Below are 15,138 nucleotides of genomic sequence, written 5' to 3'. Positions count from 1 at the left end.
TTGTTTTGAGATGGGGTTTCTCTCTGTTGCCCAGGCTGGAGTGCAGTGGCACAATCTCGGCTCACTGCAACCTCTGCCTCCTGGGTTCAAGCAATTCTCCTCCCTCAGCCTCCCAAGTAGCTGGGATTACAGGGACGTGCCACCATGCTGGCTAATTTTTGTATTTTTAGTAGAGACATGGTTTTGCCATGTTGGCCAGGCTGGTCTCGAACTCCTGACCTCAGGTGATCCACCTGCCCACCTCAGCCTCCCAAAATGCTAGGATTACAAGTGTGAGCCACTGTGCCCTACTGGACCATCTGTTTAGTCCATCAAATACTGGACTACTGGACATCAAATAACTCTGACGTTTATACCCACTTTTCACACCTTAGTTGATTTCCTTTAAGTCAGCCACCACATTAGACCCAGGCAACAAGACACAGAGCCCTATTCCCTGGGATCCCTTGATTTTCAGAGCACGATTCTGGCCTTCATTTAAACCACTCCCCTCCCCACAGATAGAGGATTCCCCCAGACCAGGGGATGTGCCCATTCAGACCTCATGCTCGTCTTCTAAACCACACATGCAAACTGGCACCACCAGAATGCACTGCCAAACCAGGCCCACACTCTGAGCCCAATTCAGGACCTTCAAAGGTGTTTTCCACATTCAAACTCCTGACAGCTGAAGACCCACGAGGTGTTGCTCCCCTAAGCTGGGGCAGGAGCAGGGGTAGGAGGCAGGAGAACTATCTAGGATGGGGCAGGACAAAGCTTGGATGAGGGCATCCAGGCAGACAGTTGTGGGTGAGGCGCCTCACCAAGTGAGGCAAAGCAGAGAGAGAAAGAGCAGGAGTTCACTGCTACCTTCCCTCGAGCAGAGGACACTCAGACTCGGCTCCAAAGCCATCCCACGTGTGCCGGTGTAAGAGGATGGGAATGATTTTACACAAGGTCTGGCAGTTATGTTCCTGATATGGGATGCAGGCCTCATGTTCCACTCTTATCACTGCCCATAAATGTTAAAAAGAAGGCATTCTTGAAATTGTTAACCACGTAGTATATATATTAAGGCTGTTAAATAAGCAAAACTAAAGAATGAATGAATACAAAGCCTCAAACGTCTCATGCATATATGTACTAATTCAGCAAATCCTTCCTTATCCAGTGCCAAAATGTGAGTGTGTTTGGATGTGTATATATGCATTTCTGTGTGTGTTTGTGTGTGCACCTGTGTGCTTGTGCATGTGTATGTCATTTGTGTGTGTGTTTGGGTGTGTGTTTCCATGTATGTTTCTGTGTATGTGTGTTTGTGTATCTGTGTGTGCTTTTTTGTGTATCTGTGAGTTTATATGTCTTTGTATGCTTTTTCGTATATGTATGTGTTTGTGTGTCTGTGTGTGTGTGTTTCTGTGGTGAATAAATAGGTGCAAGCTGCTATGGTTTGTGGTTTGTCCTCTGAATTATCAAATTATGTAGTTATTTTAAAATTTAAGTATTATTTAGTTATTAAAAATTAAGTTAAATTACTTAATTATTAAAATTAAATAATAATTAAAATAGAATATTAAAAAAAATTCTGACATTCTGTGGATGACAATTTAAGGACCCAGAGGGGCAGCTGGGAGATCAGTTTCACAGCCATTGTGATGGCCCTGGTGAGGAATCCCAGGAGGGGCTTGCAGAGCTGAGGGAAAGGGGGTTTTTGGAGTCCTTGCTGTCTGTGAAGGACAGACTTGGGAGCTAGAGAGGCTGCAGAGAGGTGTACAGCGAGTGGCTTCAGACTGTATCAACTTGATGTCTCTCCTACCTTTCTGTGGTCCTCACCTGGCTTCCTAGAGTTACCAATGAACTTTAGGTAGATATTTAATAGCCTTAGAAACTTGCTTTGGCATTTGCCTCAGTAGAGCCAAGGATGCAGGATGGCTCTGCACACTGGTTACTCAATTCTGCAGGTACCTGCAAGACTTATATACCCCATATCCCTCCCTTGCTGGCACCGGCACCTTTCCTCAGCTCCTCTCTGACAGTCCCCACTATATCCCAGATTGCTTTTACAAAGAGTAGTGACCATGTGCATATCTCAGCAAAGCAGGTACTAAAGAAGTCACTAATCATGCTTCCTTTGTATTCTTGATTCAACTTCTAGGTTGCAAATGAAAAACAAAACAGAACTGACAAAAACCCAAACTCCTTGAATGTGGCAGTCTCATGAGTTTTTTCCTAAAACTGCCTGTACCATCCAAACTTGAACTCTAAGCCTGATAGTCAACTTGCCTTGTTTGCACACACTTAATGTGGTTAAAAAATGAATGATGCAATGGAGAAGATGATCATTATGAAGTGAGAAATAAGTTCTGACAAACAGAACAATTCAACAGAGAAAAATTGCATCAGCAATAGCTGGATCTTAAATAAAAGGGGTAGTCTACATATAGAACTCTCATAGTCCCTTTAAATCTTCAGATTCACATGGTACTAATGTATATATTTAAATAAATTAGCATAGCCATAGCCTAAAAGAGTCTCTTCCTAACAATACGCTTTATTTATTCCCAACACTTTGCTGAAAAGTCTCTGTTGGAAGCCCAGGCACTGAGGGAGATGCAATACTACTTATTCAAAAGCCATTTGAATCACTGACTGTAAGAATGTTACTATGCAAGATATATTGCGTCAGACCCAGGACTGCACCATGAAGTTAATTCACAAAAGTAGAATAATTTGTAGTTACTTAGAATTTTGCTACAGTCCTTTGAATCACCTTCCCTCTGATATTGGAAATGCAATATTTGGAGTACTTGTGAAGGCATTAGGCTTGCATTAAGGATGTAAACAAACTTCAGGTGAGCCTTCTAACTCCAAAGGTACACAGATGCTATTGTGTATCAGAGAGATTGGGCATTAAAGACAAATTGATATAAACTACAAAATACTTGTGTATGTGTCCACCAAGTGAGTCACTAGAAAACAACACGAGAAAACAGGTCATTTTTTAAAAGCAAGCTAAAAGTCGGTGAATTTCAGCTATATACAAGGCAATAATTCCAAAATGCTTTGGAGGACTCAGCGTAGCCGATTCAGTGGTTAGTGTCTTGTAGACAATGTGGTAAAGTTAATTTCAGATATAAATACATTCAAAAATGTGTTTCTCTCTCCTTTTAAGGCAGCCTGACCAGTTTGGCCTTTGTTCACTGCTCTTGCCACTAGATTGATTCAAGGCTAAAGTTGATTGATGGGAGCTGTCTGCAGACACTGTGGGCAGCCTTCTGAGTAGGACTTTGTAGAGTTCTGTACATTTTATTTGCTCTCTATAACTTACAGTGAGTTGAAGGAGGCCACATCCAGAGATCAATCATTTTGAGCAAATATGTTTCCAAAGTTTTTCTACTCTCCATGACTCTTTTTTTCCATTGTGTGTACATATATACCCCACATGAATTTTTTTTTCAAAACATATTCACTTAAGGGAGTTGAACAATGAGAACACATGGACACAGGGAGGGGAACATCATGCACCAGGGCCTGCAGTGGGTGGGGGGCTAGGGGAGGGATAACATTAGGAGAAATACCTAATGTAGGTGACGGGTTGATGGGTGCTGCAAACCACCATGGCATGTGTATACCTATGTAACAAACCTCCATGTTCTGCACATGTAACCCAGAACTTAAAGTAAAATAAAAAAAAAAGTATTCACTTAAATAATTATCCAATGGAATCATTAGAAGGCCTGAATCTTTCAATAGAATTCATCAGCATCCACGGAAACTAGAAGGACAAAGTACAAAAATACATAGTTTTGAGCAAGAATGAGTTTATTTGACAGCCTCTCATTAAGTGAGAACTGTTCTTAGGATTCTCCATCCCAAGGTACTATTTTTTGACAACAGACCAGTATTCATGGAGATCACATTGTTTTACTTTCCTGTTGAGACGATAAGGATACCCAGTAGTCAATAACGTGTCTCTACCAGTAGATGACTTAGGAGATTTCACCCTCTAGTTTCTACAATTGTCATCATTTGAGGTCAGGGTTGCTGCTGCATTCCTAAACTCAACCCATAATTGCTTTAATGAATTTAAAGAATGTATTTACCTACAAGTGATCAGGGAGCATTGCAGGAGAAATCAAAAGTACTGCTGGAAGAAAACAAACAGGTAAATCACATATGTGTGTGTGTGTGCGTCTATATATAATCTTCTTAATATATAACATATATTCTGTAGGTATAATACATACTACTTGTATAATATATAATTATGTGTATTATATGAAACATTATACATATATTTATTATATGTAATATTTTTTAAACTCCAGCAGTTTATTAAGCCTAGACTTTAGATATTAAGTATTTATTAAAGCCTAAAAATGATTATAATGAAATTATATTTGATTGAATGTTCACAGATCAGACAACAGTGGTAGCTGAAACTATAAATTTTTATTTTTTGACTGGTTAAAGGCCTCGTCCTCTAATTCTGAAATCTTTACTCTCCTATGTGAATCAATTTCACATTTTAGCATATTACTAAAGACTTGTTAGGCAATGTAGGAAAACTAGAGGCTACAAATATACTTAGCATACATTAAATTTGCATCTAGTTCATCAATCTTAAAAATAAAAACACATACAAACTGTGTATTCTAGGGAAAAGTTAAAAATACTTTCTATCCAACTGCCTTGCCAACAGTAAACCATGAAGTCAACTGGGTGTGAAGGCACATGAGGCCACTGCAACAAAATATCTCATTGTAAAATAATGAGCAGCAATCTGTCCAGAGGCGAGGAGAAAGAGAAAGTGAAGGACATGGAGGAGGAGGAAGAAGAAATACAGAAGTATAAATGTATAAAATAAAAGTGCCTCCCGGCATGTGCCTCTCTCTAGAGAGCAGCTAAGGGGTCCAGATAGTCTGATGTCAGAACAGTCCCTGCTAGTGGCTGCTTCTACCCTCAGCTGCAGATCCTGTCACTCCCATCCTGCTCTTTGCTTCTCAAGATGCCCTTGCTTCCTGGGCTCCTCTGTCTCCCAGTGCAAATGCTGGATCCCAGCTAGACTCTACTCCAGACCAGGCACCCTGCTATGATGGAGGAGGAGTCTAGCTCAAACCAGCTGCAGCAGATCCACAGGGACTGGGAGAAAAGAGACTAGAGAAAAGAGCTCAGTCTGCCTGGGGCTTGCCGTAAGAATGAGGAGAAATGTTTCTCCTTGTCCAGGCAAGGCAGTGGGGAAGTGGGATATTTTAAAAAGCATCAGGGGTTGGGCCTGGCTCAAAGGATCGAAAGATTAAAGTTGAGATTCATAGGGCACAAGTAATGTGCTATTTCTAGTTAATAAAATGCCTAGGCAAACCTGGGAGATTTGATGTCGTTTTTATTGCTTTCCGAAGGAAGTATCCTGTGAACATTTCCATAATATCTTTTCTAAGCATTTTCATTTTACAAAGAAAATGCAATGACCCCCTGACCACTTCACATTGTTGGTGTCAAAGAAGAAGTATTATAATAATTAAACTCTAGTTCTTAATGTCTAGATATAAATACATGTATATATGAGCCACCATAAAGTATATTTGGATATGCAAAAGCTGAAAAAGAAGTAATATCTTACTGTTTCTCATTTAATTTGGATAATTACATTTTGGTTACATCATGGTAATATTATCAATGTTTTACAAATGCCCTTTGGAAATTACATTTTTGGCCAGGGGCAGTGGTTCATGCCTATAATTTCAGCACTTTTGGAAGGCTGAGGCCAGAGAATCACTTGAGGCCAGGAGTTCTAGACTAGTGTGGCAATATAGCTGGACCCTGTCTCCACAAAAAAATTTAAATTAGCTGGGCATGTTGGCACATTCATATAGTTCTAGTTACTCAGGAGGCTGAAGCAGGAGGATTACTTAAGCCCAGAAGTTCGAGTTTACAGTGAACTATCACGGCACCACTGCACTCCAGCCTAGCCCAGAGTGAGATCCTGTCTCAAAAAAAAAAAAAAAAAAAAAAAGAAATGGCATTTTTAACCATTTTCACATATGTTTCATATGAGCTAAATCAAGAATGGTTTGAATTGCAGGTGTATTCTCCAGCCCTTGTTCATGGTGGTATTGCTGGCAAACATTCATGGCCATGACCAACCTGGCATGGTCTTCATCTTTACTCAGTGATGAGATGGGCTTCACGTCTGTGATCTGCTCCTCCTTTGACTCTGTAAAAGCAGATGAATAGTACATCTCTAAAACTCAAGTAGAGCCTGCAGCCTGCACACTCATCATGAGTCCTAAATTACCAAGGCTTTGTATACGCGTGTATGAAAACAGCATATTTGCATAACTATAAGGGAGTGACAATTGAGACCACACTTAAGTCTAAAGGAGAAGCAAGCAAAATAAGAGATGCGGGTTTTCTTCATTAAAGCAAGACTTACTTGACTATGCCCCCCTGGCTTTGTAAACACAAGGAGAAGTAGTGACTGTCCCTGGGTGGCCTTTCTCAGTGTTCCCTGGCAAAGCTGAACACCAAGGAGCAGATGGGTAAGTGTGCAGAGAGACCTGGAAGCTCCAGGGAGGAATGGGTCCTTCCCTTGCAAAGCACATCCTTTCCAGTGGGTTGGACTGGATGTGCCAAGGGCACTGAAAGAAAGGGTCCCATGGGAAGGCTCACCATGGAGGAAGGTAGACTGGGGGTAACCAGGACCAGCACCAGGGTCCAGCATTGTCCCTCAGAAGTGTGACCCACAGACCTGGTGTCACAGTCTGCCAGGGATTCACAGGGGTGCTTTCACTTGAAAGAATAACGAATGCAGCATCTACCCAGTACACACATGCAGATGCACACGCACATCCCTCATACATAAAGTGAAACAATGATTTTCAGTAAAAACTCTACATTCATATTCACAACCATGAGGGACTAAAAAACTGTGCATAGGTTTTGGATGCTAAATCTGTTAGTTGATCTATGTCTGATCACATGTACTTAAATTACTTAACATTTTGGCTAATATAATTTCATGTTACTTCAAGTTTATTATTGTCAAATTTGTGTTAGTATTTCTATTGTGTTGTGTTAGATATTTAATTCACAAAAACTGATTCGTAGCGAAAAAGTAGTTCATCAAAGTATAAAATTAACAATGAAAACTGTAATTAAAATTTTTAATTCTAAGTAATTTTGTAAAAACAAATTGTAAGCAGGATTCCAATGTCGGTGGAGACTGTGAAGCCACGACAAGTGAAACATTCACGGAGAAACACACCACGCATGCAGAATGAAAAAGAATCGTGTAATTAGGAAGTATGAATGTAAATAACACAAAATTGGGTGGGGCTAGCAAACCATTTGCCTATAAACTCCAGTGTATAACCTTTTAAGAAACAACTTTGCCATTAAATAATAATAATAGTAGTTTTAAAAGTGTTAAATCAATAATACTTTTTGTTTTGGATAGGTAGGAAATAAGTCTTTCTACTATGAATTAGTAAATTATGGTACTTGTGTGAGGAAGAGAACAAAACTAGAGAGCAATCATTCAAAGTTCCACTTGCACTACAGAGCAACTGAATGGAAATCATTCTCCAGGTCTGTAACAAACGCAGTTCAAATCCTGCTAATGATCAGTGATCTCAATGGTACTCAGGATCACTGTTCCCTGCAGGAAGCACGGTGGCTGGTATTAGTATCCCGCTGGCTTCTCAGGCTTTCCAGAATGCCCACACTCTTCTGCCTCCCTTAGTGGAGTTTTGTCAATCACCTTTGTTCCCAAATTTATTTATGGAAGTTTGGCTCATTATTATAACAGTTTAATTTTACTAAATATCATGTTAATGTATGAATAAAGACACAAAGAGTGGTTCCAACGAAAATCAAATTGAATGCTTTCAATAAAAACAAATAAATGTTAATTGCTGAAAATATTTGTAGCAAATTAAGATAGGTCTGAAATACCTAGGGGGTAGAGAATCATATAAATTTAGTGGTACTGTTCATGCCAGTTGTTTCCAAGAATATTTACATTCAGAATCCATGTTAAAGAGTGGTGACAGGCCAGGCATGGTGGCTTATGCCTGTAATTCCAGCACTTTGGGAGGCCAAGGTGGGTGGATCACGAAGTCAGGAGTTTGAGACCAGCCTGGCCAATATAATGAAACCCTGTCTATACTAATAACGCAAAAATTAGCTGGGCATGGTGGTGTGCGCCTGTAGTCCCAGCTACTGGGGAGGCTGAGGTAGGAGAATCACTTGAACCCGGGAGGCAGAGGTTTCAGTGAGCCGAGATCACACCACTGCATTCCAGCCTGGGTGACAGAGTGAGACTCCATCTCAAAAAAAAAAAAAAAAATTGGGGACAATGAGTATGCTGACAGCAAGAATAGGACTTGTAATAGTAACTTTTACAAAGTCTTATCCCTTCACCAAATATTCATGTAAATGCCCACTCATATTTTCAAGTTAAGATAAAGTGTCTAAGTTATGCTAATAACTTTTTCATTCCGTATTTTAATAAGCTTTTTTTCAATTAAATAAACAACTACTGCTAAATTTATCAAATTGGCTAGACAGGCATCCACTGTAATATAGTCACCAGTTCTCCACAAGCAACATGGAAAATATTATTTTAACAAAGGAACGTCGTGCATATTGGTTAACAAAATGATACGCAATCTGAAGAAATAAACTCCTGTCACATAGGCATGCCAGAAGTAATGCAGCCAGATAAAACAACAGGTGTTCATAACAAATCAGAATTTTGGAATATGTGAGGAAAACTTCGAAACCACAGTATCACCTGTAAGTCTTTGAAATCTCATTCAAAAGAAACCTCATGCTAAGGAAAAACCAGTGGTTCACAAGAATGGCTGCCCCGGGAATCCATGTTAGAAGGGAAATTAGGCTGTAGTGGAACTCATATTTTGGGAGGATCTATGATACAGTAAGACTTATGCTACAGGGAAAGGCATATTTTCATTTAATTAAAGATAAGTTTGTGATCACAGAAACAGATTTGATTATAAGGACATTGTGACAGGTCCTGATCAAAGGCCAGCTGTAATGGCAGCTACTTTAATCATCAAAAACCATGATCAGACCGCACGCAGTCACTGATGCCTGTAATCCCAGCACTTTGGAAGGCTGAGGCAGGCGGATCACGAGGCCAGGAGATGAGCCTGGCCAACATGGTGAAACCCCGTCTCTACTAAAAATACAAAAATTAGCCGGGTGTAAAGGCATGCGCCTGTAATCCCAGCTACTCAGGAGGCTGAGGCAGGCGAATTGCTTGAACTCAGGAGGCAGAGGTTGCAGTGAGCCAAGATCATGCCACTGCACTCCAGCCAGGGAGACAGAGCAAGATTCCACCTCAAAAAAAGAAAAATGATCATAATAGTAAAAGTTAACTTTTTTTAAGTATGCAGTAATGGCCAGGTAATGTTCTAAGTACTTTACGTGTAAGGTAGATACTATTTTTATCCCCATTTTATAGATGAGGAAGCTGAGGCAAAGAAGAATAAAATAATTGATTTAAAATAACACAGTGAATAAAAGGTAGAGCCAGGACAGAAACCCACATAATCGAGCTACCCTACGGTGTATGCTGGGCTTATGACTGAGATGCTGGAGTCTCTGCCCATACCAGTCCTGCCTGGGCATTCCCCTTGCCTACTGGAGAGAGATGGGCAACAGTACGGGCTCCACTTTTGCACACTATCAAGTGATGGCTGTGGAGGCTGGGGCTCAGACTAGTTTTTGAAATAATGGCTCTGAAAAAGCTAGTAAGGCTAGTCCCATAATTTGAAGTGACTGATGTAAGCAATACTTCTCAACAATAAATCCATTCTAATGGAGAGCCCAAAGAGCCTGCGTCAAAATATCACATTTTTTAATATTGAAAGATCATGAGGTTCTTTTTTTTTTTTTTTTTTTTTTTTTTTTTTTTTTTTTTTGAGACGGAGTCTCGCTCTGTCACCCAGGCTGGAGTGCAGTGGCGGGATCTCGGCTCACTGCAAGCTCCGCCTCCCGGGTTCACGCCATTCTCCTGCCTCAGCCTCCCAAGTAGCTGGGACTACAGGCGCCCGCCACTACGCCCGGCTAATTTTTTGTATTTTTAGTAGAGACGGGGTTTCACCGTTTTAGCCGGGATGGTCTCGATCTCCTGACCTCGGCCTCCCAAAGTGCTGGGATTACAGGCGTGAGCCACCGCGCCCGGCCGATCATGAGGTTCTTAAGAAGATTATTGCAAATAGTTTTATTGCCAACTGTATGGCAATTTCCTGGTGCTTAATGATTTTCTTCTTTTGTTGGAGCAAAAAAGTCAACAGCAGATTATTAGGCATTAAAATAAAACAAAATACAGACCTTCACCCAAGAGCTGGAATGGAAGTAAAGAAATGCTTCTCTGAGTGAAGTATATCAGAAAATGGGTAAGAAATCCACCGACAACTACTCCCAATTGAAACATCTAAGTACCCCACTTTTAAATCGGATGTCTCAACTGTTCTGAAAAGGTGCTGAAACAAATTTTCACTAAGAAGTCTCTATATAGCTTCTGACTCTATGGTTGAAATAAGTACCCCAGACTGTGACAGAAACATCAGACCTTTGCTGCATTTCTACCAACTTTTAGTAGTGAATCAAAAAAATAATTTTATAGAAATAAAGAAAAGAATGTAAAAGAACTGAGCCCTAGGTCTCAAAATATCCACTGTCTAGCCAGGCATTTGAGCCTTGAGGAGGGATTATAAATAATACCTTCCCTCTCCCCCTATTACATATTGAGATTAATCATTAGAGTTAACATTATTATGTTTTCTTTTAATTATATTAAATTTATGATAACTAATTTTTTTTCTTTGTAAACCAACCAAAAATCAGTACTCTTGGTGGCTGCCATCTTTGCTGTTTGAGAGCCTTCACTGGTGATACCTCCAGGTACTGGAAAAACTGAGGTGACTAGGTACCCCAGCAGCCCTGCAGAGTCGTGACCAGACTGTTAAAAGAAAAACAAACCAACAAAAACAGCAACAACAAGAACAAAACCCACTAAAATTCCATCCAAAATTCAGCAACCTCAAACATCACAGGTAGATAAACCAATAAAGATGAGAAAGTATCAGTGCAAAAATGTTGAAAACTCAAAAAGTCAGAGTGCCCACTTTCCTCCAAATGACAGCAACACCTTTCCAGCAAGTGAACAGACCTGAGCTGAGGCTGAGAGGGCTGAAATGACAGAAGTAGGCTTCAGAATGTGGATTGAAATGAACTTCGCCGAGCTAAAGGAGCACATTGTAACCCAGTGCAAGGAAGATAAGAATTATGATAAAACAACGCAGGAGCTGACAGCCGAAATAGCCAGTATAGAGTGGAACATAACTGACCTGATAGGGCTAAAAAACACACTACAAGAACTTCACAATGCTATCACAAGTATTAATAACAGAATAGACCAAGTGGAGGAAAGAATCTCAGAGCTTAACGACTTGCTTTCTGAAATAAGACAGGCAGAGAAGAATAGTGAAAAAAGAAAAAAAAAGGAATGAACGAAACCTCTGAGAAATATAGGATTATGTGAAGAGACCAAATCTATAACAGATTGTGAAAGAGATAGGGAGAATGGAATCCATTTGGAAACCATATTTTAGGATATCATACAGGAGAACTTCCCCAACATAGCTAGACAGGCCAACATTCAAATTCAGGAAATGCAGAGAACCCCATAAGTTATTCCAAGAGAAGATTATCCCCAAGACACATAATCATTACATTCTCCAAGGTCGAAATAAAATAAATGTTAAGGGAAGCCAGACAGAAAGGCCAGGTAACCAAAAAGGGAAACCCATCAGACTAACGGTGAACCTCTCAGAGGAAACCCTACAAGCCAGAAGAGATTGGGGGGCCAATATTCAAAATTCTTAAAGGAAAGAAATTCCAACTGAGGATTTAATATTCACCTAAATTAAGCTTCATAGGCAAAGGAGAAATAAGATCTTTTTCAGACAAGCAAATGCTGAGGAAATTTGTTACCACCAGACCTAACACTAAATATGGAAAGGAAAAACCATTAATTTTTGGAGTTTTATTTAATGTCGGGAGCAGATTGGGTAATAAAATGTATTTTGAGAATAAGACGGCCTTTTGACCTTTTAGGGTCTAGGGCTGTAAAGCGTCTCAGGGTTGCTGCCAAACAAGTCATGAACTGGGCTGGATTTTTATATTCGATGAAAAAGAGCCTAAACGCTATCTGATTTGGGATAAAGAAAAAGGAGCATTAACCTTGACTATGCCTTTAGCTCCAGCCACCTTTTTAAGAGTAAATTGCTGGGCAGGATGGGGAGGGCTAGTCACGGAACGAAACTGTAAGCCGGACCAGGTGTGAGGAGGGGAGGTGATAAAAAGATTATAGGGTGGAGGAGCAGAGGCTGAGGAAGAATTGGGACCTAGCTCGGCCTGGCGAGGAACAACCTGGGGAGGAAGGGAGAGGTCAGATGGGTCTGTAGAAAAGGAAGATTAGAAAGACTCAGCGACACTTGGGATTGGTACTGAGGGGACAGGCGGAAGGGAAAGAAGGAAGATTTGGGACGAGTTGCACTGGTCACAGAGACTAGGAAGGGACTGATGTGTAAAAGAATGCCTGGACGTCAGGCACCTCAGACCGTTTGCCTATTTTATGACAAGAATTATTTAGATTTTGCAGGATGGAAAAATTCAAAGTGCCATTTTCTGGCTATTTGGAACTACTGTCGAGTTTGTATTGGGGTCAAGCGGCATTGCAGAAGAAAATAAGGCATTTAGGTTTTAGGTCAGGTGTGAGTTGAAGAGGTTTTAAGTTTTTGAGAACACAGGCTAAGGGAGAAGAAGGAGGAATGGAAGGTGGAAGCTTACCCATAGTGAAGGAGGCAAGCCCAGAGAAAAGAGTAGAGACAGGGAGAAGGGGTGGAGGGTTCTTGCCCTCCAGAAAAGCAGAGAAGGGGTTGGGGCACGGAAATAAGGGATTGGGGCACAGAGATAAGAGGTCAGGGTGCGGAAATAAGCAATTGGGGCACAGAGATAAGAGGTTAGGGTGCGGAAATAAGCGATTGGGGGGTTCTTGTCCCCTAGGAAAGTGGGACTTGCCACTAAGGGTGAAGGAGAAGGGGTTGAGGGGTACTTGCCCCTGCCCCAGGAAAGCAGGACTTGCCACTAAGGGTGAAGGAGAAGGGGTTGAGGGGTACTTGCCCCTGCCCCAGGAAAGCGGGACTTGCCGCTAAGGGTGAAGGAGAAGGGGTTGAGGGGTACTTGCCCCTGCCCCAGGAAAGCGGGACTTGCCGCTAAGGGTGAAGGAGAAGGGGTTGAGGGGTACTTGCCCCTGCCCCAGGAAAGCGGGACTTGCCGCTAAGGGTGAAGGACCAAGGCAGGCGTCCCTGCGTGGTCTGACACCCTTGAAACGTGAGTGTATAATCAGAGAGGCATCCCTGCAATGATTAAACACCAAGGGAAGGCTGCTTTCCCAGTCCGTGACCGGCGCCGGAGTTTTGGGTTCACGGATAAAACATGTCTCTTTTGTCTCTACCAGAAAATGAAAGGAATTGAAATTAAGAGAAGGGAGAGATTGAAGTGTGGCGCCAAGATTGAAAGGAGAAAGAGGTTGAGGGACAGTGAGGGAGGTTGGAGAATAGAGTAAAAAGAGGCCGCTTACCGGATTTGAAATTGGTGAGATGTTTCTTGGGCTGGTCGGTCTGAGGACCTGAGGTCGTAGGTGGATCTTTCTCAAGGAGCAAAGAGCAGGAGGACAGGGGATTGATCTCCCAAGGGAGGTCCCCTGATCCGAGTCACGGCACCAAATTTCATGCGTGTCCCTGTGAAGAGACCACCAAACAGGCTTTGTGTGGGCAACATGGCTGTTTATTTCACCTGAGTGCAGGCGGGCTGAGTCTGAAAAGAGTCAGCGAAGGGCGATAAGTGTGGGGCCGTTTTATAGGATTTGGGTAGGTAAAGGAAAATTACAGTCAAAGGGGATTTGTTCTCTGGCGGGTAGGAGTGGGGGTCACAAGGTGCTCAGTGGGCAGGAGTGGGGGTTGCAAGGTGCTCAGTGGGGGGTGCTTTTTGAGCCAGGATGAGCCAGGAAAAGGACTTTCACAAGGTAATGTCATCAGTTAAGGCAAGGACCGGCCATTTACACTTCTTCTGTGGTGGAATGTCATCAGTTAAGGTGGGGCAGGGCATATTCACTTCTTTTGTGATTCTTTAGTTACTTCAGGCCATCTGGGCGTAAAGGTGCAGGTCACAGGGGATGCGATGGCTTGGCTTGGGCTCAGAGGCCTGACAGAGATAAGCGTTGCTGCAGAGGCCCACGGAAGAAAAACTCAGTGCCAACTCCAGAAGTTGCCAAAGGAAGATTCCTTCACGGACACGTGTGGTTTCTCCCCTGAAACTCGCCCTAGTCCTGTTGGCAACAGCCTCTTTCTTCCTCCCTTTAGTGGCCTCTGACAATGCCCTTCTGAGTACAATACTAATCACTGTTTGCGTCTTGTTCACTTGCACTGCCCATTTCCTGCATATTCTTAGACTGTAAGCTTTCTTAAGACAGCATAAATATCCTTCCTACCTTGTGCTCCACATTCCCTGCTCTCTGCCTGGCCCAGAGAAGGCACTCAGTAAATACTAACCTAAGGAATAGATGAACTAACAGTGCTTTGCCCTGATTCCCATATGTTCTTCAAAAAAAAAAAAAAAATCTATGCTTGTAGTCATAATTTAGATTATCTAGCAGGAATTAAGAGCTGTTAGGTACTCGACTGAAAATATGAAATAAGCCTCTATGGACTTCCAGCCTAAGAGAGGGCCCCAAGATGCAAAATAGAGAGAAAATGGTTCCAGTTCTGATCGTCATTAAAATCCCGAGTGACCTTGAGCCACTCTCTTTCCCTCCCTGAGAGGCAATTTTCTCACTTATAAAATATAGATGATGAATAAGATGCTTTTCTAAGCCTCAGAATCTTAGCAAATGTTGTCCATTCTTAATAAACCCTAAATATAACTTTTGTGAATTGTTTTGGCAAAAAGTAAAACTACCCAAATAAATGAACTGATAGTTTTGCATTTTCTCTTCTTGTGTTTACAGAGATAATTAAATATTGATGATATTCAGTTTAATAACCAATATGTCATTGTAGCCAAGGAACT

General features: G+C 41.6%; 1 annotated feature.

The window, feature by feature from the left end:
* Window positions 14,055-14,742: an enhancer, noted in NCBI's record as "NANOG-H3K27ac hESC enhancer chr7:51937084-51937771 (GRCh37/hg19 assembly coordinates)". NCBI's record gives its function as "activates a minimal SCP1, AML or CMV promoter by ChIP-STARR-seq in primed H9 embryonic stem cells {active_cell/tissue: H9 hESC(primed)}" and the evidence as "EXISTENCE:reporter gene assay evidence [ECO:0000049][PMID:30033119]".

Source organism: Homo sapiens, chromosome 7, assembly GCF_000001405.40.
Source record: "Homo sapiens chromosome 7, GRCh38.p14 Primary Assembly".
Taxonomy (NCBI): domain Eukaryota; kingdom Metazoa; phylum Chordata; class Mammalia; order Primates; family Hominidae; genus Homo; species Homo sapiens.
This window is presented reverse-complemented; position numbering and strand designations above follow the sequence as displayed.